The sequence below is a fragment of the Homo sapiens genome, chromosome 10, assembly GCF_000001405.40.
Source record: "Homo sapiens chromosome 10, GRCh38.p14 Primary Assembly".
In the NCBI taxonomy this organism is placed as follows: domain Eukaryota; kingdom Metazoa; phylum Chordata; class Mammalia; order Primates; family Hominidae; genus Homo; species Homo sapiens.
Window position 1 is genome coordinate 131987278 of NC_000010.11, and position 25986 is coordinate 132013263.

The following is a 25986-nucleotide window of genomic DNA, read 5'->3' on the forward strand; positions in this document are numbered from 1 at the left end:
TTCTGCACAGCAAAAGAAACTACCGTCAGAGTGAACAGGCAACCTACAGAATGGGAGAAAAATTTTACAATCTACCTGTGCGGTGGCTCATACTTGTAATCCCAGTACATTGGGAAGCCAAAGCAACGACCAGCCTGACAAAGGGCTGATATCCAGAATCTACAAAGAACTTAAACAGATTTACAAGAAAAAAACCCCATCAAAAAGTGGGCGAAGGACATGAACAGACACTTCTCACAGTAAGACATTTATGCAGCCAACAGACACATGAAAAAATGCTCATCATCACTGGCCATCAGAGAAATGCAAATCAAAACCACAATGAGATACCATCTCACACCAGTTAGAATGGCGATCATTAAAAAGTCAGGAAACAACAGGTGCTGGAGAGGATGTGGAGAAATAGGAACACTTTTACACTGTTGGTGGGACTGTAAACTAGTGCAACCATTGTGGAAGTCAGTGTGGCGATTCCTCAGGGATCTAGAACTAGAATTACCATTTGACCCAGCCATCCCATTACTGGGTATATACCCAAAGGACTATAAATCATGCTGCTATAAAGACACATGCACACGTATGTTTACTGCAGCACTATTCACAATAGCAAAGACTTGGAACCAACCCAAATGTCCATCAATGATAGACTGGATTAAGAAAATGTGGCACATATACACCATGGAATACTATGCAGCCATAAAAAATAGGATGAGTTCATGTCCTTTGTAGGGACATGGATGAAGCTGGAAACCATCATTCTCAGCAAACTATCACAAGGACAGAAAACCAAACACCACATGTTCTCACTCATAGGTGGGAATTAAACGATGAGAACACTTGGACACAGGAAGGGGAACATCACACACTGGGGCCTGTCATGGGATGCGGGGAGGGATAGCATTAGGAGATATACCTAATGTAAATGACGAGTTAATGGGTGCAGCACACCAACATGGCACATGTATACATGTGTAACAAACCTGCACGTTGCGCACATGTACCCTAGAACTTAAAATATAATGTAAAAAATAAAGATAAAAGGTAAAAAAAGAACTTTCATATATTGCTGGTGGTAACAAAGTGGTACAGCCATTTTGAAGAACTGATTGCAAGTTTTTCGTGAAGGTAAACACGTGATCCAATAATTCTCTCAAGTATTTCTCAAGATAAATGAAAACATATATCCATAAAATGATGTTTACAGATTTACCTTATTCATAATGGCCAAAAGTCTAAAATAACACAAATGTCAATGAACAAGAGAATGGATAAATTACAGTATATTCATATAATAGAATTCAGCAATAAAAGAAATGAACTACTGATACACGTAACAACATGGATGAATTTCATAAACATTAGGTAAAAGCCATACACAAAAGAATACATACTATATAACTCCACTTATATTGTAACCGCCCAGTGGTTTCACCTTGTGGAGCTGCCTAGACAGAACCAATTTATCAAGACAGGGAAATGGCAATAGAGAAAGAGTAGTTCACACAGAGCCGGCTATGCAGGAGACTGGAGTTTTATTATTATTCAAATCAGTCTCAAGCATTTGAGCATTCCGGATCAGAGTTTTTAAGGACAAACATTACTGTTTTTTGTTTTTTGTTTTTGAGACGAAGTCTAGCTCTTGTCCCCCAGGCTGGAGTGCAATGGCACGATCTTGGCTCACTGCAACCTCCGCCTCCCGGGTTCAAGCGATTCTCCTGCCTCAGCCTCCCAAGTAGCTGGGATTACAGGCACCTGCCATCACGCCCGGCTAATTTTTGTATTTTTAATAGAGACAGGGTTTCACCATGTTGGTCAGGCTGGTCTCAAACTCCTGACCTCAGCTGATCCACCCACCTCGGCCTCCCAAAGTGCTGGGATTACAGGCGTGAGCCACTGCGCCCAGCCCAAACATTACTGTTTTAAACTACTACAGACTCTAGTCCTTTCAAAGAAAAGTTAGTTGAAGCAAAATGAAGCATGTAAATGGAGGTACAAACTGCAGCAGAGGGAAGCCCAGTCCCTGAAAGGCACAAAGTAAGAACTGAGCAGAGGGAGATAACTGTGACCGGACATATGACAAATGTTTTTTAAAAAATAGAGACAGGGACTGGCTATGTTGCCCAGGCTGGTCGTTAACTCCTGGGCTCAAGAGATCCTCTTGCTTTGGCTTCCCAATGTACTGGGATTACAAGTATGAGCCACCGCACAGGCCCCAATGACACATAAAGGGAAAGAGGAGGGCCCTGGAATTGTCTACCAGACCAGCTGGTCTACTAAGAGAAAAGGAGATAGAAAATGTGAACTTGATGGAGAGTTAGAAATGTTACCAGATCAAGTGGTTTCTTTGCCTTTCACATGAAAAAAGGAGAGGTTTCTCACAGCTTCTCAACTTCAAACCCTTTAATAGAAGTGACTTCCTGGACTGAGTCGTTGAAAGCTTCCAGAAGGGAGAAGCGCCCCTCTTTGCATGTGTCATCCACCCCGCAATGCCCTCCCATCACAGTAGAAAATAACTGCTGCTAATGTGGCTGAAAACCCTAAGGTAATTGTTAATAAATTATTCCTGAGATAGAATGAAATAAAAATATAATCTTGCACTAAAATTCCACAGGATTTCAGTTAGAAATTGGAAGAGAGGCAAGGAACTTGTACGTTACAGGACATTCAGGAAGAAAAGGCTGTAGATACTGATGTGTATAGAAATATGTTAAATATGTTGATGGAAAAAGTAGAAGTTGAACTATGTTTCTTAAAATATAAAGATAACTGGGCCGGGCGCAGTGGCTCACACCTGTAATCCCAGCACTTTGGGAGGCCGAGGCGGGCATATCATGAGGTCAGGAGATCGAGACCATCCTGGTTAACACGGTGAAACCCCGTCTCTACTAAAAATACAAAAAATTAGCTGGGCTTGGTGGCGGGCGCCTGTAGTCCCAGCTACTTGGGAGGCTGAGGCAGGAGAACGGCAGGAACCCGGGAGGCGGAGGTTGCAGTGAGCCAAGATCATGCCACTGCATTCCAGCCTGGGCAACAGAGCAAGACTCCGTCTCAAAAAAAAAAAAAAAAAAATATATATATATATATATATATATAAAGATAACCACTAGAAGACTAGATTTAGGCCCTCAACTTTCAAACTACTTGAGAAAAAAAGAGAAAACTAGCAATAGGAAAGGGGAAATAGCAAGTATAGAAATAAAACAGTTAACAAACTTGATTTTACATGTCTATATGAACTTTCATAGCAACACACAGAAACTACACGTTTAAATCAAACACCCTTGATCTTTTTTTCCAATCTGCTAGGTGTTGGGTCAGTTTTTTAAAACAGAAAACCTCAAATTATCAAAAGTAGAAATTATTCAGGCTGCATTCTGAATACAATATTGTTCTCAACATCATCTGCAAAAAGAAAACCTCCCGCCAGAAATCATTCCAATTGTTAATTATGAAATCCTTCTGGCCGGGTGCGGTGGCTCATGCCTGTAATCCCAACACTTTGGGAGGCTGAGGCAGGTGGATCACCTGAGGTCAGGAGTTCGAGACCAGCCTGGTCAACATGGGGAAACCCCATCTCTACTAAAAATACAAAAATTAGCTGGGCGTGGTGGCAGGCACCTGTAATCCCAGCTACTCGGGAGGCCGAGGCAGGAGAATCACCTGAGCCCGGGAGGCGGAGGTTGCAGTGAGCCGAGATAGCGCCGTTGCACTCCAGCCTGGGTGATAAGAGTGAGACTCCATCTCAAAAAAAAAAAAATCCTTCTAAGTTACTCTTAACATAAATTTAAAGAGGGCCAGGCACGGTGGCTCACACCTGTAGTCCCAGCACTTTGGGAGGCTGAGGTAGGCAGATCGCTTGAGCTCAGGAGTTCAAGACCAGCCTGGGCAACATGAGAAAACTCTGTCTCTACCAAAATGATTTTAAAACTAACAGGGCGCCAGCTATTTGGGAGGCCATGGTGGGAGGATCGCTTGAGCCCAGGAGGTCAAGGCTGTAGTAAGCCATGATCACACCGCTACGCTCTAGCCTGGGTGACAAAGCAAGACCTTGTCTCAAAAAAAAAAAAAAATCACATTTTATAACACCTAATGAATCAGTGAATCTAACTACTAATCACAGCTGCCAGTATTGCAAAAAGAGACACTGATAGAAATCCTGTGCCTCCTGATGGAAGAGCCTAACACAGTCTATGAAATAGTTTTGTCCGGCTGGGTGCGGTGGCTCACGCCTGTAATCCCAGCACTTTGGGAGGCTGAGGCGGGCGAATCACAAGGTCAGGAGTTCAAGACCAGCCTGGCCAACATGGTAAAACGCCGTCTCTACTGAAAATACAAAAAATTAGCTGGGCGTGGTGGCGGGCGCCTGTAATCCCAGCTACTTGGGAGGCTGAGGCAGGAGAATCGCTTGAACCCCGGGAGGCGGAGGTTGCAGTGAGCTGAGATTGCGCCACTACACTCCAGTCTAGATGACAGTACGAGACTCCATCTCAAAAAAAAAAAAAAAAGAAATAGTTTTGTCCTTTTCCCACATCCTCCCTGCAAAATAGAACCTGAACCTGATCCAGGCTTTAGAACTGCCTACCAAATTCAGGACAGAGGAACGTATTAAATGACACTGTGGGCCAGGTAAGTTGGCTCAGGCCTGTAATCCTAGGGCTTTGGAAGGCCAAGGTGGGAGGATTGCTTGAGGCCAGGAGTTTGAGATCAGCCTGGCCAACACAGTGAGATCCCATCTCTATAAAAAATAAAATAGACAAATAATACTGTGGAATTGGAATCAGCAAAATACAGCAAGTGGCGAAGTATGATAAATGAGTTTTTCAGTAAATACATTGCAAGAGGAAAAATAGGAGATGGATTTGTTCCTTATCTAAACAAACTAAAAAAGGAGAGAGAAAAGGAATTGGAAATTTGAACGCATGGACATTTGAAGATTTAAAATAGATAATTACTTTTAGATGTGATAATAGTATCGCAGTCTTTTTTTGGCATTCTTTTGGCATTTTTATCTTTTAATGTGTCACCTATATGCTTGCTGAAATATGGGTGAAATGAAATGATGTCTTGGATTTGTTTCAACATAGCACAGGAGGGGGGCGTGGCTGAGGGTATGGATGAAACAGGATTTGCTGCGACTTAACAGTTGTTGAAACCGGGTCTTAGGTACATATGGGTCCATGTTATTCTACTATTGTATATGTTGGATATTTTTCACAATAATAAAAAAAGATTATGAAGTCGATATGTGTTACAACCTAAGTGAGAATTATAGCATACTGAACACATTTTTTAGTCTTGCCTTCCTCTCAAGACCTCATTGAAATGACAGTAAAGACATATGCAAGAGATTAAACCCACAATGGAGAGGAGAACTAGAGTGGGTTCCTCAGTGGACCAGCGTTAATAGCATCTAGAAGACAAAGTGACAGGAACACTGACAATATAAAAGAGCACAGGAAGGCCGGGCACGTGACTCACACCTGTAATCCTAACCCTCTGGGAGGCTGAGGCAGGCAGATCACTTGAGACTAGGAGTTCGAGGCTTGCAGTCAGCTATGATCGCGCCACTGCACTCCAGCCTAGGCAACAGAGCGAGACCTGTTTCTTCACACACACACACACACACACACACACACACACACACACGAGGAAGCAATCTAGAATGTCCAAAAGCAGAAGCAGATTCAGGCTTCGTAAGACCTTAAAATTATGCAATTTTAAAACCAGCTTTATTGAGATGTAATTAATGTACAAAACCCGCTCATATTTAAAGTTACAATTTGATGAAATTTACATCTGTAGACACCACAAGACCGTCAGGATAATGAACATGCCCGTTATCTCCAAAAGGTTCCTCATCTGGCTGCTTCCACTCAGTGTAATGACTTTGGGATTCGTCGGTGATGCATGCATTCATCAGTAGTCGGTTCCTCTTTATGGCTGAGCAGCATCCGTTGTATGGATGTGCCACCATTTGTTTACTGTTCACCTGTTGGACATTTGGGATGTTTTCAGTTCTTGCCGCTGGCAAATCGAGCTGCTGGGAACGTTCACATTCATGTGCCAGCGTTTGTATCGACATGTTCTTTCATTTCTTGCAGGTAAATGCCATGGAGTGCAGCGGCTGGGTCGTATGGGGAGGGTGTGCTTAGCTTTTTAAGGAGCTGCCATCGTGTTCTCCAAAGTGCTCGCACATGTTACTTTCCCAGCAGCAGGAGAGTGCCAGTGGCTGAACACCCACGCCAACTGTGGTTTAGCCGGGCTTTTTAATTGTAGCCATTCTAATGGGTGTGTGCTGCCGTCTCGTGATTTTAACTTGCATTTCCCTATCGTGACATCTTTTCATAAACCCACAAACTTTGCTTGCCATTTGTATATCTTCCTTAGTGAAGTGTCAGTTCAAATCTTTCGCCTAGTTTTTAACTGGGTTGTGTTATTTAGTTCTGAGTTCTGTGTTTATTCTGGATACAAGTCCTTCTGTCAGATATGTGTTTGCAAATATTTACACCTAGTCTATGGTTTGCCTTTTCATAAGTGTCTTTGGAAAAACAAAGTTTTCAATTTTTACAAAGTCCAATTTATTGATTTCCTTAATAGTTCATGCTTCTTGTGTCCTAGTATATTAGTTTTCTGTAGCTGCTATAACAAATTACCACAAAGTTATTCTCTCACAGTTCTTGAGGCCAGAAGTTCAACATCAGTTTCACTGGGCAGAAACCAAGGTGCCAGCAGGGCTGCACTCCCTCCAGAGGCTCCAGGGGAAATTTTTTTTTGAGACAGGGCTTCACTCTGTCATCCAGGCTGGAGTGCAGTGGCACAGTCACAGCTGGCTCACTGCAGCCTTGACCTCCCGGGCTCAAGCAATCCTCCCACCTCAGCCTCCCAAGTAGCTGGAAATACAAGTGCATGTCACCCCATCCAGCTAAATTTTGTATTTTTTTTAGACCTGGGATTTCCCCATGTTGCCCAGGCTACTCTTGAACTCCTGGGCGCAAGTGATCTGCCGATCTAGGCCTTCTGGAGTGCTGGGATTATAGGCGTGAGCCACCCCTGGTGCCAGCATAGAAGGGGTAGTGCTTGTGCTTCATGCTCCACCTCGATGGCCATGGTTTACCTGCAGGACTGGCTGACTCTGCTGTCCTGGCCATGTGGCTGCTCTTTGTTCCTGCCCAGTTCTCAAATCTGGGCCCTCCCAGCCACCTGTGAGCCCTCCAACACTGTCAGCAAAGGTGTTTTCCAATTCCATCAGCCAGAGCTGGTCTCTATTACTTGCAACTCAGAAGCTTTCCTGATAAAGCATGTTTACCAGAAGTCCATCGTGAGCACCGTGCTTGGCTGTGAAATATGAGTGGCATTTCCATTTCAGTGGGCAGCAGGCCAGTGGCTGTCATCAGCACCCCTGCTACTCAGCTGTGTTCTGAGGGGCTTAGGCCATGCCCTAAGGCAGGATGGAGAAATGAAGTTTTTCAAATACCAAACAGACACACTGTCTCTATTGCCCACTATCATCCCCACCGTATGTAAGCTCCATGAGGGTATGGATCCTTGTCTTTTAGGGTCACTGCTGTACATTGAGCACCTAGAACCATGCCTGGTATATAGCAGGTATTCTGTTAACATTTGCTGAATATAAATTCACAAAGAATAGTAAAATTGTTCACCTAAAAAATCCAAGAAAATCAACTGAAAAACTATTTGACAAATAAGAATGCAATAAAGTATGTGTTGAGAGGTGAGCATGTATAAATCAGTAGCTTTCTTATATGCTGGTGATGACCATTTTAGAGATGAACACCACCTCATTTGTAAGAGCAACAACAACAAAATCTAAGAATAAATTTAAGAAGAAATGTTCAAGGAAAGGCTTGTGCCTGTCATCCCAGTTACTCAGGAGGCTGAAGTGGGAGGATCTCTTAAGCCCAGGAGTTTGAAACCAGCCTGGACAATATAAAGAGACCTCATCTCTTAAAAAAGTAAAAAATAAAAGTTTTTTTAATTTTAAAAAAAGATTTGGGAGGCTGAGGTGGGAAGATCCCTTGAGGCCAGGAGTTCGAGACCAGCCTAGGCAACGTGGCAAAAACTCATCTATACAAAAAATTAGGTGGGCATAGTGGCAGGTGCCTGTGGTCCCAGCTACCTGGAGGCCGAGGTCAGAGGATCACCTGAGCCTGGGAGGTCGAGGCTGCAGTGAGCCAAGATCGTACCACTGCACTCCAGCCTGGGCAACAGAGTGAGAGAGTGAGACCCCTGTCTCAAAAAAAGAAAAATGTTCAAGACTCAAGACACGTACAAAGAAAATCATAAAACTTTATGTTAAAATATAACAGACACTATTCAGGGCCCCCAGATCCTACCCAGGACTGCACCCAAGCTGACCGGGTCTTCTCTAAAAACAGAAAAAGAAGCCATTACTAAGGATTATAAGACATAGCGTGTTCTTAAAGGACAAAACTGATCATAACGGTGATCATAAAGACAGCTCAGCTTCTCCTTTGCCTTATCTGGGCCCCACAATGTTCTGAGCACTTGCCATTGAATGACCCGTTTAACACTGTCCAGGACTCATGCAGGCAGGAATTATACTGTTCTTTTTTTACAGAGTGGCGCATCCGTTTTATTGAGGTAAAATGGATTTTTGTACATTCACTCCATGACTGAACTGAAAAGATATCCACCACCCACATAATAGGCAAAGGATTAGTAACGGAATATGCAAATGGATCTAAAAATCACAGTAAATGTACAAACAACACAATCTTTTTTTTTGTTTGTTTTTGAGACAGGGTCTGGTTCTGTCGCCCAGGCTGGAATGCAGTGGTGTGATCTCAGCTCACTGCAACCTCGTTCTCCTGGGCTCAAGCAGCCATCCCACCTCAGCTACCTGAGTAGTTGGGACTACAGGTGCACCCCTCTGTGCCCAGCTAATTTTTTTTTCTTTCTTTCTTTCTTTTTTTTTTTTTGTAGAGACAGGGTCCCACCATTTTGCCCAGGCTGGTCTCAAACTCCTGAGCCAAGTGATCCACCTGCCTCAGCCTCCCAAAGCACTGGGATGACAGGCGTGAGCCACCATACCCGGCCCCAGCAGTACAATCTGGTAAGTCGAAAAAGAACTGGCACCTCATGAAAACAGAGAAATGGCCAATGAACTGAAAAGACGCGCAGCCTTAGCAGCCGCAGGGACGTCATGCTGAAGCAATGAAGCCCTTCCTCCTCTCCGGCTGTGCTCACTGCTGGGAACTGGCAGCTCAGGGGTCTCGGTCCTGCCTGCTTCCCCTCCACGGCCCCTCGCTGCCTGTAGCTCCTCACGCCTTAGTCCAGCTCCATCTGCTCATTCCCTGGAGTGCACCCTCAGCTGCCTTGTCCCTCTCACCCAGTTGGCCAAGCCCAGCTGGGCACCGGGCCTGCACCCAAGCTGCCAGGAGTGGAAAGAGAGGAGACACAGCCATGTGGATTGGTTTCATTTTAAATTCATGGCCACCAGCTCAAGTGGACACTTGTTGACTGCTACATTTCCCCAGCCTGGTACCACCCAAACATGTCCTCGTGTCCTGGCACACAGAGAGGGCAGAGCTGGGATCACACTGCCTGCCCCTCTAAATGAAAGGTTGCTGAGCAGAGCGGGAAGCTGCACCTTTGCAGGCAGGTCAAGGACCTGGCTTCTGGGACCCAGGGGGACCCCATGTGAAGGGGAGTGGGGCTGGGCTTGTCTAGAATCTGCCTGAAGTGGGGACCTGGAAGAGTGAAACTGAAGGAGGCTGGAAGTATTCACCCGAAGGCAGAGAGACTCCAGACCCCGAAAAAGTGGCCCAAGAGGGACAGTCAGCTTTGGTCACCTGGGAGCCCAAGCAGTGTGTAGGCAGCAAAGACCCCCGGCCCTTGCCGCTGGCCTTTGGGCTGTCCCCAGAGGGTCAGGAGCTACAACTGGAGAGGAAGTGGGCAGAGCCCAGGCTGGAGCAGGAGGCATTTCAACTCAGAGTAAAGTTGGGAGTTTTGATGGTTACACCGGCCAGGACACAAAAATTACTTCAGTGAGACCAAATCGAAAATGGGCATGAAAACGGGGCCAGATTTTCACCCGGTGGTGGGTGTGGGGTGGGGAAGAACACTGGGGGAAGGAACAATACAAGTGATTTGTTTCTCTTCTATTAATAACTCGCAAAGCTGCAAAAGTGGGTGGGGGCTTATTCAAATGAATGTAATTCTTCTGTTACCTTCAAACATCAGTGACACTATATGCACAGGGGACCATCAGGGGGCGGGCGCTGGAGGGGTAATTCTTCCACCTCTGTGGCACCCAGCTGTGCGCCTGCAGACTGATCTGTCTCCCTCCCTCTTGCAGGAAAACACTTTTCTATGAATTCACAATGATATTTGTACTATGCTGGGGCTATTGTTAGGAGTTGGTATGATGAAATATTCCGCATTGTAAACAGTGTGCACACAAACATGTCTCGAGTGTGTACTTGTACTTTGCTGGTGAGTGGAAAGCAGAGGGTGATCTTTGAAAAGAGGCTGGACTGCTTGCTGGAAAACCTTCAAAACAGGAAGCAGCCACTAGATTCAAGTCACATTCCTGCCGGAGGCTAGACGTGATCCCCCAGGCCGGAATCCCAGCAGTGCTGGGCGGGCGTGTTTATTTGTCCTTGGGTACATGAAGCAATAGCTCCGTTGCTCCTCCGTGAGAGATTGCAGAATGTTCTGGCTGGAATAACCAGTCAAGGTAGTGTCAGAAGACAGAGTTACAGCAGATCTAGTTTAGAGGCCTTCATTGGCTTGCGTTTGCTCTTCTAGAATGGGCAACACCTCGTTCGATAAAATAGAGAAAAGGGCCGAGGAAAGCAGAAACCAGAACAGAAAGCTGATTGGTCTTTTCACAGTTAAAGGTTTAAGCAGAGGGCTTCCCTACTGTGCTAGCTGAAACTGGCCTGTTTGGGGATTTGGCTACGATCTCCTTCTCTCCTGATTTCTTAGAAGCTCAAACAATTTTCTCTTGGTGGTGTGGAAACTCAGCGCAAACAACCCTGTTTGGGTTTGGTCTGTTGGGCTTAGTGCGGGAGCCCTGCCCAAAGCCAGTGCCTCCTGTCAATTTCACTGCACACTGACATGGGACCAACATGCCTAACACTCGTCTGTCCCGTGGACCCTGTCTCTTTCATTTTTTTATTTTTAGTTTTTAGAGACAGGGTCTTGCTCTGTCTCCTAGGCTGGAGCGCAGTGGTGCAATCACAGGTCACTGCAGCCCTGACCTCCTGGGCTCAAGGGATCCCCTCTTCTCAGCTTCCCAAGGAGCTGGGACTGCAGGCATGTGCCACCAGGCCTGGCTAATTTTTTATTTTTTGTAGAAACAAGTTCTCACTATATTGCCCAGGCTGATCTCAAACTCCTGGCCTCAAGTGATCCTCCCACCTAGGCCTCCCGAAATGTTGGTATTACAGGCATGAGCCGCTACACCCGGCTCTGTCTCTTTCAAAGCACAAGTCCACAGTTTTGCTGACACGTGGTGGCGATGGGGAAAGGTCAGCAGGGAGTAGAGAAGAGAACACAGGCTTTTGCCACTGTGTGAGGTGGCAGTGGGAGAGTCTGCAGATAGCAGGGGAGCAGAAAGCAGGGGACAGCTAGGGCTGGTATCTGGGCTCTGCTACTAAGAAGCTGTGTCACTTGGAGAAGCGACTCACCTCTGTGAAGGTCCCCATCTTTAAAATGAGGGTGACCACAACAGCACTGCCCTCTGAGGCTGCCATGATTCCGTGAGTTCACGAGGGCACTGCATTTGGTGCCTGGCAAATTACAGTGCTTGGTGGGTGGTGCCTGTGCCTGACACTCCTGCCCTGTGTTGTTACCTCCTAATAGCCAGCGAGGGGAGGTGTGCTTTCCTTATCTCGCACAGGAGGGGACTGAGGCTCAGATAGTCCATGGCCACATGAACTGGGACTCGGAAACAGGCCCTCATGGCTGTAAGTGCTGGCCTCATTTCGCGTTGCGTCACCAAAAACAGACAGGATCAGTGATCAGCTAGAGGGGCCAAGCAGGGGCAGGAGGGTGGGAAGAGTGGTCCCTCCAAGGGGACCCAGAAAATGCCAGTGTGACAGCCCTCGGGGCCCCTGGCTGGGCAAGTGGAAGACAGAGCACTGGCTGGAGCCGAGAGCTGGCAGGACTGAGCCTTGGCCTCCGCAAGAGCCCCAGCAAAAGCCAGCCCGGCACAACAGCTTTGCCCCTCGGTGGAAGCCCCCAGGCTGCGTCTGGAGTGGCAGAGCTCGCATTCCAAGCTCAGAGACACTGTCTCCAAGAGCCCTGCGCTTCTAGCCGAGCCCTTTCCCTGGGTCAAAGGAGAATGGTGGAGCTCTTTTGGGGTACACTGAGGGGGCCCAGGCCAGGCTTTGTAGGGAAGGCCCTGATGACCAGTAACTCATGAGGACTAAGCTCTGATTTTTTTATCTTGCCCAAATTCCTATCTTAGGGGTCTGGGGAGTCATGCCCTACAAACCGTAAGTTCTCATGGGATGGGTTTTATTTAACCCTATATATTGTGACTTACTTTCCAAGCTGACTCTGGTATAACATTACGAGACAAAGAAGAAAATCAAAATATTTTATCCCAAAACATGTTTCTCTGCCATATCTTGAAATGGCCCTGCAAAGTTGTCCTTTGTGGGGGAAAATCTACATCTGTAAAGAATGGAGTATCTAGTAACATAGCTACATTTTTTTCTTCCAGGCCCTCCCAATCCTGAAGAGATTTAAAAATCTAGCACCTTTTAAAGACCTGAATAGGGCCGGGCGCGGTGGCTCATGCCTGTAATCCCAGCACTTTGGGAGGCAGAGGTGGGCAGATCATGAGGTCAGGAGTTCAAGACCAGCCTGTCCAATATAGTGAAACCCTGTCTCTACTAAAAAATACAAAAATTAGCTGTGCATGGTGGTGCGCGCCTGTAGTCCCAGCTACTCGGGCGGCTGAGGCAGGAGAATAGGAGAATGGCTTGAACCTGCGAGGCAGAGGTTGCTGTGAGCTGAGATCACGCCACTGCACTCCAGCCTGGGTGACGGAGTGACACTCCATCTCAAAAAAAAAAAAAATCTGCAAAGGAAACATTTGTCATCTATCGTCTCTAAGGGCAGCCACTATGAGATTCAAAAGAACCTTGGTCTCCACAATCTTTTATCTTAACCTGAACATTCCCTTTCTATCCATCCCAGGACTTTAGACAAACTCAACCAATTATCAACCAGAAAATGTTTACATTTACCTATAGCCTGGAAGCTCGCCCCCCCACCCATCCCCCCACCCCCCCCCACCCCACCCCAGCTATCTTGCCTTTCTGGACCAAACCAATGTATTTCTTAAATGTATTTGATTGATATCTTATGCTTCCCTAAAATGTATAAAACCAAGCTGCAAGTTACAAAGCTACACATGAAGACTTAGCCTGAGACCAGTCTAATTGGTTGCAGGAGGGGAGCAATCAGAGACACTTTCATTTTTCATCTGCAAAGCAGAAAAGTGAGGCTTGCAAAAGGAGTAGCCTCTGATCCAGAAAACCAAGCTGCACCCCGGCCACCTTGGGCACATGCTGCTGCTTCTTTTTTTTTTTTTTTTTTTTTTTTTTTTGAGACAGAATTTTGCTCTGTTGCCCAGGCTGGAGTGCAGTGGCATGATCTCGGCTCACTGCAACCTCCGCCTTCCGGGTTCAAGCGATTCTCCTGCCTCAGCCTCCTGAGTAGCTGGAATTATAGGCGTCCGCCACCATGCCCAGCTAATTTTTTGTATTTTTAGTAGAGATAGGGTTTCATCATATTTGATCAGGCTGATCTCGAACTTCTGACCTCAGGTGATCCACCCTCCTCAGCCTCCCAAAGTGCAGGGATTACAGGCATGAGCCACCGTGCCTGGCTGGACACATGCTTTCAAGACCTCCTGAGGGCTGTGTCACTGGCCATGGTCGCTCATATTTGGGTCACAATAAATCTCTTCAAATATTTCAGAGTCCGACTCTCTTCGTCGACACTCAGCTGAAGAACAGCCAAACTTGCCGGCAGAATGAGGCTGGCTCAGGTGACTAAAGAGGGGGCCGTGCTGTTTGCCAAGACACAGCTACAGGAAGAGGAGCCCGCGGGAGGTAGGAAGGCAGGGAAGGAGGCTTTGAGTGGGGCTCACGTGCCTGGGGTGACTATGGAATAAACATCCAGGTGCAGGCAGGACTCAGGCTTAGGATCACCAGGAGAGAGCAGCGTTGAGGCAGGGAGAATAGGGTCTGGAGGCAGGGAACCTAAGGCCGATTCTCTCTGACTACCTAGAACTGAATCAAAAGGAAAACCCTCATCTCTCCACACCCAAGTAACAAACGGACCAGAGGCTACTCCCTTTGCAAGCCTCACTTTTCTGCTTTGCAGATGAAAAATGAAAGTGTCTCTGATTGCTCCCCTCCTTCAACCAATTAGACTGGTCTCCGGCTAAGTCTTCATGTGTAGCTTTGTAACTTCACTTCAGCCTGTGATTGGCCACCTTCCTCAGCCAATCAGACTGGTTGCAGGCCGCTACTTCATTTACATAGCGTGTAAACCAAGTAACCAATGGGAAACCTCTAGAGGGTATGTAAACCTCAGAAAATTCTGTAACCCGTGATCTTGAGCCTCTTGCTTTGGCCTGTTCCTACTCTGTGGAGTGGGCTTTTGTTTTGATACATCTGCTTTTCTTTGGTTGCTTTGTGTGTTTTGTCCAATTCTTTGTTCAAAACACCAAGAACCTGGACACCCTCCACCAGTAACAGCATTATCTGGCACAGCTGCTGGGAAAAGTCACCCCTGCAATTTGCTCAGAGGGTAAGAGACACTGGCTGTGTACTCTTCCGCAAGGCAGCTCTGGACACCAGCTCTCCCATGTCTGCTCCCAACATCCAGGAATTAGCAAATACCCCACCTACCACCAAGGCTGCACCTTATCTGGCTGTCCTGCCTCCAGCCACGCAGGCGCACACCTGCCATCCTCCCTGCCCACACAGAGGTGGGAGGCCAGGATGCCCAGCTGGGCACATTCTCTCTTCTCCTATCACCATTTTTGCTCATTGACATTGAGGACTAAGCTCTAATTTTTTTATCTTGCCCGAATGCCTATCTAAGGGGTCTGGGGAACCATAAATTCTCATCAGATGGGTTTTATTTAACCCTATATATTGTGACTTACTTTCCAACCTGACTCTGGCATAATTTTATGAAACAAGGGAGAAAATCAAAATATTTTACCCCAAAACATATTTCTTTGCCATGTCTTGAAATGGCCCTGCAAAGCTGTCCTCCGTGGGGGAAAAGTTGCATCTCTAGTAACATAGCTAGATCTTTTTCTTCCAGGCCCTCCCAATCCTAAAAGGATTAAGAGTCTAGCACCTTTTAAGCATCTGAATAGGAAACATTTGTCATCTATTGTCTCTAAGGGCAGTCACTAGAAGACTTCAGAAGAATCTTGGTCTCCACAATCTTTTATCTTAACCTGAATATTCCCTTTCTAGCCGTCCCAGGTCTTTAGACAAACTCAACCAATTGTCAACCAAAAAATGTTTAAACTCACCTGTGGCCTGGAAGCCCCCGTTTGAGTCATCCCACCTTTCTGGACCAAACCAATGTATTTGATTGGTGTCTCATGCCCCTGTAGAAGGTATAAAACCAGGCTGCGCCCGAGCACCTTGGACACATGTTCTCAGGACCTCCTGAGGCTGTGTCACAGGCCATGGTCACTCATGTTTGGCTCAGAATAAATCTCTTCAAATATTTTACAGAGTTCGACTCTTTTCATCGACAACATTAATGCCTCAAAAGAAAGAAAAAGGCCAGGCATGCTGGCTCACTCCTGTACTCCCAACACTGGAGGATCACTTGAGGCCAGGAGTTCAAGAACAGCCTGGGCAACAAAGTGAGATCCCATCTCTACAAAAAAAATTAGCTGTTCAGGAAGCTGAGGCAGGAGGATCACTTGAGCCTGGGAGGCCACGGCTACAGGAGCTATGATCTCGCCACTGCACTCCAGAATGGGCAACAGAGCAAGACCCTGTCTCTAAAAAAATAAAGGAGCTCGTGGAAGGTACACTATCTTGCATAGAAGAGATGCTGAGTTCTTCATCCCCTAGTGAGCGCCTTTTCCCCACAGCCCCGCCCTCTGTTCCCTTCCCTGAACCAGAGTTGCGAATTCTCACCTGATCCTCTCACAGCTGCCAGGTGTTATCTCTCAGGAAATAGCCCCCTGTCATGTGTAACAACTTGATCTGCCTCTGAGGCCCCTCTGCACTCAGCTGGTGGGAGGAAAGGTCCTCCCTGGGGGTGTGCCCAGGGCTGTGGTCTTCCTTGGGGAGGGAATGGACTATCGGTCTTCAGAGCTTGCTGGCAGACGTCCATCGGGTGGCCCTGTGGTCCCCTGGACTCTGCTGCCCCAAGCTTGGCTGGGAATGGAGCTGCCCCGTGCGGGTGGCCCCAGGCACCCTCAGCTGGCTGCTCCAGCATCTGCCATCCCTGGCTGCCATCTGGGAGGGGCTACTGCACACCCCCCAATCCTCGGGGCATGCTCTTTGCCCTGAGACCCTCTTTGCCTTTCCCTGAGCCTCGGCTTTCGGGAGAAGCATCTGGAAAATGTGCAGGCTGGTGGGTCCTCTGCTCCCTCTCTCTGCATCACTCCTGGCAGAGCACAGAGCCCAGTCCTGCCGGAACGGGATAAAGGAAAGAGAGAAGTGTACAGAGAGTGTGTGCAGTATTTCCAAGGCCACCCCATGGGCCTTATTCTTCCCGTCTGTTAAATGCAGATAGTGCTAAAACCCACTTCACTGAGTTTGCCGAGGATTACAGAAAGCAACGCACGTGACAGTGGAGCGGGAGACCAGGGTCTGGGGGCAGGGACTTCAGGCCAATGCGTGCTGAATCAAGGAAGAACACCAGGGTCTGGGGGCAGGGAATCTGAGGCCAATTTGTGCTGACTTCTCAACGCTGGATCAAAAGGAAAAACATCTCCCCACCCCGTAACAGAGGATCAAAGGCCATTCTCCCTACAGCCCTCCCACTTCCACCAAGAGGGCGAGGGCCTTGGAGTGGCCACAGGGCATCCCCTCATCTGCATAAGGCGCCAATTCACCTTAGCCTTTTTTTTTTTTTTTTTAGACAAACTCATGCTCTATCACCCAGGCTGGAGTGCAGTGGCGCGATCTCGGCTCACTGCAGCTTCCACCTTCTGAGTTCAAGAGATTCTCCTACCTCAGCCTCCCGAGTAGCTGGGCTTACAGGCATGCATCGCCGTGCCCGGCTAATTTTTGTATTTTTAGTAGAGATGAGGTTTCACCATGTTGACCAGGTTGGTCTCGAACTCCTGACCTCAGGTAACCCCTCTGCCTCTGCCTCCCAAAGTGCTGGGATGACAGGTGTGAGCCACTGTGCCTGGCCAAGAATGTCATACGTTTATGGTGTGCTATGATCCCTCTTAGGGGTAAAAACAATTAATATATTTGCTCTAAATTCCCTCCAAGCTACTCCAGGAGTATGATTTGCTATTCTTTCGGGGTGAAGCCACCTTTGCTAAATTATGACTGAGACAGTGAAAGAGATCTAACGTAACCAACTCCATCTTCCTCCTAACCTCCAAGCTGTCCTTGTTCATTCCTGGGCGTAGGCTGAACTAACTTTGGGAAGAACTTAGTTTATAGTTTAAACAAAGATGGTAACAGCCCTTTCCCAAAGCTGACCTCCTTCTTGCCTGGGGACTAGATGGCCTTTGTAGGGCTAACATTAGCCACAAGATGAGAAATGATGGTTTAGGAGTCACGCAGCAGGAGGCTACAAGATTCTGACCCTCCCTAAACTGCTCCTAAGATCAGCCCTTGAGATATTGTCCAGAACCTGTACTTGATGGATCAGCTGGTACCACCCAGATCCATAAACTGGCTCATCTGCTCTTATGGCCCCCACCCAGGAAGTGACTCAGCACAAGAAGACAGCTCCAACTCTCTGTGACTTCATCTCTGACCAATCACACTCCTGGCACACTGGCTTCCCCCCACCCACCAAGTTGTCCTTAAAAACTCTGCTCCCTGAATGCTCGGGGAGACCAATTTGAGTGATAATGAAACGCTGGTCTCCTGCACAGCTGGCTCTGTGTGAATTACCCTTTCTCTGTTGCAATTCCCCTGTCTTGGTAAATCGGCTCTGTCTAGGCAGCAGGCCAGGTGAACCCTTGGGCCGTTACACTGGGGTGCTGTAGGCCCCGTTTAGTCCGTTTAGTCCACCTGAGCCCCAAGGCACTGAGAGGAGGACAGAGGCTGAGGATGGCAGTGGGGGCCACAGTTCCCACTTCTGAGCCTCCTTCCCTGGGAGGGGGCTCCTCATGTTGGGGGGTTCAAACCAGAGCATCTCCATCTTGAGTGAGGGCTGGGAAAGGAGGCTGGGGCTTGCTGGGCTGTAGTGCCGGAAAGTTAGGTATTCCCAGCCTCTAGATGTTTCTGGTTAAGGGAAAAGATTGACAACATTTACTAAACAGATCCAGACTTAAGAGTGTCCTGATATCCCAATATCTTGAGAACAGAAGCAGTCCTAATTTTGCTTTAAAGATAATATCGATTCTTGCAAAATATAGTAATTAAGAACAGTAACTCTTCATCACAAACCCTCGTAGCAGAGCACATCTCCCCATGATCTTTTTTTATCGTGTGTATAAACAAGTATTGTACTGTGGGTGGACACATTCCTCCTCTTACTTTTGGGAACACCCTACTCTGTCTATGGAGTATCTGTTCCTTCACCACTTTTGTCAACAAAGAGTCAAACTCTGTAATATATTTGAAGAGATTTATTCTGACCCAAACGTGAGTGACCATGGCCCATGACACAGCCCTCAGGAGGTCCTGAGAACCTGCACCCCAGGTTGTCGGGGTACAGCCTGGTTTTATATCTTCTATGGAGCGGGGGGTGGGGTGGGGTGGGGGGGGCATGAGACATTAATCAAATACATTTAAGAAATACATTGGTTTGGTCCAGAAAGGCGGGACCACTCTAAGTGGGGGTGGGGGTGGGTGTGGGGGTGGGAGGGGGTGGGGGTGGGGGTGGGAGAGGGCACTTCCAGGCTATAGGTAAATTTAAACATTTTCTGGTTGACAATTGGTTGAGTTTCTCTAAAGACCTGGGAACCATAGAAAGGAAATATTCAGGTTAAGATAAAAGATTGTGGAGACCAAGGTTCTTTTGAAGTCTCATAGTGGCTGCCCTTAGAGACAATAGATGACAATTTTTTCCTATTCAGATGTTCAAAAGGTGTTAGACTCTTAGTTAACCTCTTTAGGATTGGGAGGGCCTGGAAAGAAAAGATCTGGCTGTGTCTCTAGAGATTCTTCACAGTTGCACATTTTCCCCCACGAAGGACAGCTTTGTAGGGCCATCTCAAGATATGGCAGAGAAACATGTTTTGGGGTTAAATATTTTGATTTTCTTCCTTGTCTCATAAAATTATGCCAGGGTCAGGTTGGAAAGTAAGTCACAATATATAGGATTAAATAAAACCCATCTGATGAGAATTTATGGTTTGTAGGGCATGACTCCCCAGACCCCTGAGACAGGAATTTGGGCAAGATGAGAAAATCAGAGCTTAGTCCTCACTTTCTTAACAAACTTGCTTTTGCTTTGCACTGTGGACTTGGCCTGAATTCATTCTTGCATGAGATCCAAGAACCTTTTCTTGGAGTCTGGATTGGGACTGCTTTCCTGTAACACCTGCTGTAACTGCCCAGTGGATTTCACCTTGCCCACTGCCTAGACAGCTGATTTGTCAAGACAGGGGAATTGCAATACAGAAAGAGTAATTTACCCAGAGCCAGCTATGTGGGAGACAGGAGTTTTATTGTTACTCAAATGAGTCTCTCCGAAAACTCAGGGATCAGAGTGTTTAAGGACAATGTGGTGGGTAGGGGGCCAGTGAGTCGGGAGTGCTGATTGGTTGGCTCAGGGATGAAATTATAGGGAGTCAAAGCTGTCCCCACCTCTTGTTCTTCTTGAGACAGGGTCTCACTCTATCACCCAGGCTGGAGTGCGGTGGCACAATCTTGGCTCATTGCAACCTCCGCCTCCCAGGTTCAAGGGATTTTCCGGCCCCAGCCACCTGAGTAGCTGGAATTACAGGCACACGCCACCACGCCCGGCTAATTTTTATATTTTTAGTAGAGATGGGATTTCACCACGTTGGCCAGGCTGGTCTTGAACTGGCCTCAAGTGATCTGCCTGCCCCGGCCTCCCAAAGTGTTGGGATTACAGGAGTGAGCCACCTTATCTGGCTGAAGCTGTCCTCTTGAGACAGGAAAATAGGGTCTGCAGGCAGGAAGCATGAGGCTGATTCACACTTTGACTATAACAGGAAATATCCTCTCCATAGGGCTATACACCGACTTTGTAACTTTACTTCATCCTCTTCATTTACATAGGACATACCCCAAGTAGAGGGTATTTAAACACAAAAACTCTGTAACGGGGCCCTTGAGCCCCTATGCTCGGGCCGGCTCCTACCCTGTGGAGTGCACTTTCATTTTCAATAGATCCCTTCATCTCTTCCTTGCTTTGTTTGTGCGTGTTGTCCAATTCTTTGTTCAAGACACCAAGAACCTGGACGCGCTCCACCGTTAACATATTTTGGCAAGCCAGCCAGGAGAAAGAGGTGAGCCCAAAGTTTGTTTCTCCTTTTCCTTTCTGCTTCATCCAGGGCAATCTCTTTCTCTCTCTTTTCCTTTCCAAACTGGGACCCATGTGTAGGTAGCGCCTAAACATGGAAGCAACTGTAGGTTTCCGGCGGTGGCCAGTGAAACTAAGGGGCTTCCATGTGGAGAAACCTGACTGCCACCACCAATTTGCTTAAGGGACCAGGGTCTTTTTCATTTTTTTTCCTCTCTTTTTCAGTCTTTCAGTGGCTGTTGCCTAGTAGCTCCTTGGAATTGAGGGCAATTGGCTGGGGTCACACCCCGGTATTGCCTGAGGGCCTAGGAACGAATGGGAATAGTTGCCCCAAAGGGGAAAGGCCTTTATATATATATATATATATATATATATATATATTTTCGACACGTGGCCCTGATCCCTAAGTGTGACGCAGCTCGGAGCAAACTCGCACGCGTTTCAGGCAACTTAAACCTTTTCTTGGCTGGGCAGGGTGGTTCATGCCTGTAATCCCCGCACTCTGGGAGGCTGAGGTGGGCGGATCACGAGGTCGGGAGTTCGAGACCAGCCTGCCCAACATAGTGAAACCCCCGTTTCTACTAAAAATACAAAAATTAGCTGGGTGTAGTGGTGGGTGCCTGTAATCCCAGCTACTCAGGAGGCTAAGGCGGGAAAATCGCTTGAACCTGGGAGGCAGAGGTTGTGGGGAGATCTCGCCACTGCACTCCAGCCTGGGCAACAGAGCAAGACTCTGTCTCAAAAAAAAAAAAAAAAAAAACCTTTCTTATGCTAAATTCGTCCCTTCCCCTATTCTACTGGCAAAGGGCAAAGGAAACCCACCCAGCCTCCAGTTCCTGTCTTTAAAGTTCATGGAACAGGAAGCAGGGAAAAGCATGGCCTTATGAAATTATAAGGATGCTAAAAGTCAGGGATTACACTCAGGTACCAAAGGAAAGCTCATAGTGGGCGCTGGAGGGAACACATGCAGAGCGGCACCGGTGCCCACCTAAGGCCAGAGACGTTTGGAGCTCTAAGATTGGACCCCACAGAAGGACACTTCAGGGGATCCTCCGGACCTCAAGCTCTTCAAAGAGGACATTCTCAGCAGAGGTTCTGAGGTCTAGTAATAAGCCCTCCTTAGAATTTTCTCTCACGGTTGCAATGCTGCTTGGCCCCCAAATTTTTTAGAATCTGAAGTTTACTGTCTAATGGGAAAGTGGGATGGCGTCGCATGGATCCAGGGTTTTGTGCTGCTGTTCTAAGCAGGGGGCCTGGTTAACGTGACACCCTCCTTTGGTACTGTTTGGCTCCAGTGCTCCTTGGAGTCTCGGGAGGTTTAGCCTTTGTTGAGACTGCTTTACCCGAAATTTTGGTTCCCAGCCTTCCTTGGATTACCTACTGGGGCAAAGTCAAACCGGCGAGCTTGTACTGCAATCTCACAGCTAAGGTTCCAAGCTATTGGGTCTTCATTTATGTGTGTGTATACACGTCTAGATGTGTTTATTTGTATGTACACTTATTGTTATATGTTGTGTCTACCAAATTGGCTTATAAGTAAAAGAGTGCTCATAAATTAAGTAAATAAGTCTAAGCAATTTTCAACTTCACATGACTCAAGTATAACTTTAGTAAACAAGCTAGCTTTAAAATTAGTGGTGGAATAAAAATAGAAATGCCTTCAAAATTGTCAGCATACATGTTGTCTGAATTTGATGTTTGTCGTTGCTGGATTAAAATGTCAGCATTAATTCCAGCTGGCAGCTGCTTGGGGCAAGCCTGCCCCCCATTCTTTTCAGAGTCTCACTGAGATCGATGAATATCTGATTGCTTCCTTTGGAAAGGCTAATCAGAAACGCAGAAGAATGCAACTGTTTGTCTCCCACCTGTGATCTAAAAACCCCTAAGCCTCCTCCCTGCTGCCTCCAGTTTTCCCACCTTTCTGGACCAAACCAATGTTCATTTTGAATATGTTGACTGACATCTCCTGTCTCCTTTGTTGAAAGTAAAAATTAAGTACAGTGAATGAAATAAATGTTTTAGGTAAACTTTTTGTGTAAATTAAAATCTTAAAGTTATTTTTGATGCTCATTCAATATCTGGGTCATTTCCAATAAAGAAAGGGTTGTGATATGGGGAAATATATTTCTGAAATTGTGAAATTGTTCTTATCTATAAATGCCAATATCTGATAGTTCAGGATTTCCTGCTTTTTAGGATTTCACTGAAGTTTTAGGTTACTAAGGATAAAATTCTAGTTAACATGTAATTCTGTATACAAAATGTACCAGAAAGGGTTACGTTATTAGTTTAAAAAAAAAAGAATAATTTTGTCTAATTCAGAAGTTATCTAAAAGTTCAAATTACAGATTTGAAAAGGTTATTTCTGAAACAATGTAGTAAGGAACCATTAAGTACAGGAGAAAGATGTGGAAAAAGTTTAAATAATAAAATCTTTAAAACGTGACAGAGAATTGGAGACATTTGGCTAATTAACATTTTCATAGTTAAAGCTCTTAGTCTTGATTAAAGTAAAATAAGAAGTATTGTAAAATGCATCAGCAGCTTGGCAATTTTTTTTTTTAAAATATAGTTAAGCATGAAGCTGGATTTAGTGTGAAGCCAATTTTCACATACATGCTTCACACTTTGGAAAATTGTTTCTTGTTTAGTGTGGGTAGTGCTGGAGTACTTCTCAGTCATGTGCCTAAAGTGGATTTCTGGATTGCGCAGAAGGTCTAATGATATTAGGAAACTTAAGGACATTACATCATGTATCAGGAATAGAATATTCATTATGTGGGTGTTTTGGGGCCCTGCGTAACCATAGCCTCCAGGGCACATTTAGTATGAAAATTTAGGATTGGTTTTTTATTTGTTTTTGCTTTTAGTTTTCATTCATTTGCTGTTTATTCTCTGGCTTTGCTTGTGTATCTACATATATAAAACCATGTGAGTGAAGACTTTTATTCCGTTCTGTGAATAGTTATTTTGTTTCTTCTGCATTTTTAGGAAGTCATCATTCCTTCCATTTATCTGGAATTCCCAAGCTACCTTTGTCGGGATGCAGGAATTAATGGAGTACACCAGCTTTTTATCCTTAAATGAACTTTGGGGATTTTAGGCTTCCTGATACTTTAAGCGTGTTGAGTATATTCTTACAAATAGGATTTGAGTTATCTTTCTTTCTCTGCTGAGTTTCTTCAAAAAGTGTCAACTATACCTGTGAATATTCTGAATTCATGGCCTTGTGTTTGTTTGCATACAGTCAGGCAGGGCCGCCAGGGCCGCTCAGGGAGAGAGAACCCAGAAACCTGGCACGCCGGCAAAAGGGGAAGAATTTCTTACGTCAGTCTCTGGCCTCTTTCTCTCTCTGCAAACTGGTGAATCTCCTCTGTGAAGTTTTAAATTAATTGGTTTAATAATAATAAGAGCTTAAATCCAATATTTTGTCAGAAAAGTAGAAAGTGTAATGCCCTTTAGTTCATGTGACTTTAGCAATCTTTGGGAAATAAAAATGGTTTTAAAGATTATTGGTAAAATACAAATGTCTTCAAAATGTAAACGTATGGTCTAAAATATGTTCAAATATTAGGTTTGCTAAATGCTTTAAGGTCATAAACTGTTTCTTTGGGTTTTGAAAATTGTTGGACTTGCCTGCTTTCCAGCTAGGTAAGGTCTGGGGACTTGTGGAGTTGGCCACACCCCTGGCTGTGCTGGAAATAGCCAAACTGTATCAGAACATAACTTACCAGGTCTTACATTAAAATTCACCATTATAACATGCAATTAAGACTGCTAGAAACAGCTTTACATGCAAAGTGTGTAAGAACAGTAGAATGTGTGTGTCTATGTGTGTGTGTGTGTTTTTTGAGATGGAGTTTCACTCTTGTTGCCCAGGCTGGAGTGCAATGGCGCAATCTCGGCTCACTGCAACCTCTGCCTCCTGGGCTCAAGTGATTCTCCTGTCTCAGCCTCCTGAGTAGCTGGGATTACAGGCACATGCCACCATGCCCAGCTGATTTTTGTATTTTTAGTAGGGACGGGGTTTCATTATATTGGTCAGGCTGGTCTCAAACTCCTGACCTCAGGTGATCCGCCCACCTCGGCCTCCCAAAGTGCTGGGATTACAGGTGTGAGCCACCGCGGCCAGCCATGTGTGTGTTTTTTAAAGATTATAAAAGGTTTTTCCTTCTTTAAAATGTCTGAGTCATCATTTTGACAAAATAAGTAAGTAATGGTAATCTGGAATTTCAAAATCAAACTTCAGTTTCAAAATTGTCTTTCCTAATGCCTGGCTTTCTTGGACGAATCAGAGAGCCCCTGAAAGCATCCAGAAATGAGGTAAACAGAATTATTTGATGTGTTTAGGTACACAGGATTGCCACAATTATGCTCAATCTTCTTTAGGTTGTATTTTTGTGAATAATACTAATATATATTCCTAAATTATATGAGATTTCTAAAATTCTAATGTCTAAGTGTATTCCATCAATTATAATTATGGTTATTATGTTATTTTATTGTGAACCACAAAAATAACCAAATTTCCTTGTCAGTGCTATGCACCTAATTTGGAAAAACAACTGGTATCCAAAAGGATATAAACATGGACTCATGGAGAACCAGGATGGCCACCTTGTCCTTCCTGAGTCCTTAAAGCTTTTATTATTAAAACTTCTGCATTCCATGACTCATCATAGAAACGATATAATGATCCAAATTGGATACATTGGTGTAGTGACTTACAAATTAGTAAAATAGTTTATAACCAATGCTTGATCCCGTATTCCTGGGAAAACAATTAAAGCTTCAGATACATTTGGTCACCTGGTGAGCCATTAAACATTTTATAAAGGGATTTCATTCAGTTGTTATTTTTGATGTATGTGTTCTGGTTGTATAAAATCTTTCCCATGCAAGAGGACTGATGTTATAACAGTAGATTATTTTGTCACAGTATATTTTCACCAGGTTGAAAAAAGGCTTTTTATGGTTCAGATCTTCTGGGAACATCAGAGAAAGACTGTCCTTGCCATCCACACTACAACAAAACTTCAGGACCTTGAACTTTGGGTTTATAATGTCACAACTGAGAAGGGTCCCTCCACACTCTTGGAGCTGTGCACCCGTTGGAACCCTTAAGGTAAAAATAATCAGGGAAATTTCTCCCAAGACGAGGATGGCATCCTTGTTGTGAACAGCTTTTCCCGAGTTCACAGATTAAGACTTCTGTCATGAAACTTCTCTTTGAATACTTTTTCTTGCTTATACCTCTACGAACACTAGAAGTAGAAAAGGGTCTATTATGTGCACTTATGGGTTATACTT

The 25986-nt window shown here is 45.7% G+C and overlaps 1 long non-coding RNA gene across 1 annotated transcript, besides 3 other annotated features; it reads left to right on the forward strand.

Moving 5' to 3' along the window:
- Window positions 8753-9739: an enhancer, noted in NCBI's record as "H3K27ac-H3K4me1 hESC enhancer chr10:133809534-133810520 (GRCh37/hg19 assembly coordinates)". NCBI's record gives its function as "activates a minimal SCP1, AML or CMV promoter by ChIP-STARR-seq in naive H9 embryonic stem cells {active_cell/tissue: H9 hESC(naive)}" and the evidence as "EXISTENCE:reporter gene assay evidence [ECO:0000049][PMID:30033119]".
- Window positions 9064-24188, forward strand: LOC124902525 (uncharacterized). The gene is made up of 2 exons (XR_007062339.1): window positions 9064-9094; window positions 23668-24188. It is a non-coding gene; the product is annotated as an uncharacterized LOC124902525 (long non-coding RNA).
- Window positions 19603-20127: an enhancer, noted in NCBI's record as "OCT4-NANOG-H3K27ac-H3K4me1 hESC enhancer chr10:133820384-133820908 (GRCh37/hg19 assembly coordinates)". NCBI's record gives its function as "activates a minimal SCP1, AML or CMV promoter by ChIP-STARR-seq in primed H9 embryonic stem cells {active_cell/tissue: H9 hESC(primed)}" and the evidence as "EXISTENCE:reporter gene assay evidence [ECO:0000049][PMID:30033119]".
- Window positions 22238-22762: an enhancer, noted in NCBI's record as "OCT4-NANOG hESC enhancer chr10:133823019-133823543 (GRCh37/hg19 assembly coordinates)". NCBI's record gives its function as "activates a minimal SCP1, AML or CMV promoter by ChIP-STARR-seq in primed H9 embryonic stem cells {active_cell/tissue: H9 hESC(primed)}" and the evidence as "EXISTENCE:reporter gene assay evidence [ECO:0000049][PMID:30033119]".
- Window positions 24189-25986: the final 1798 nt, after the last annotated feature.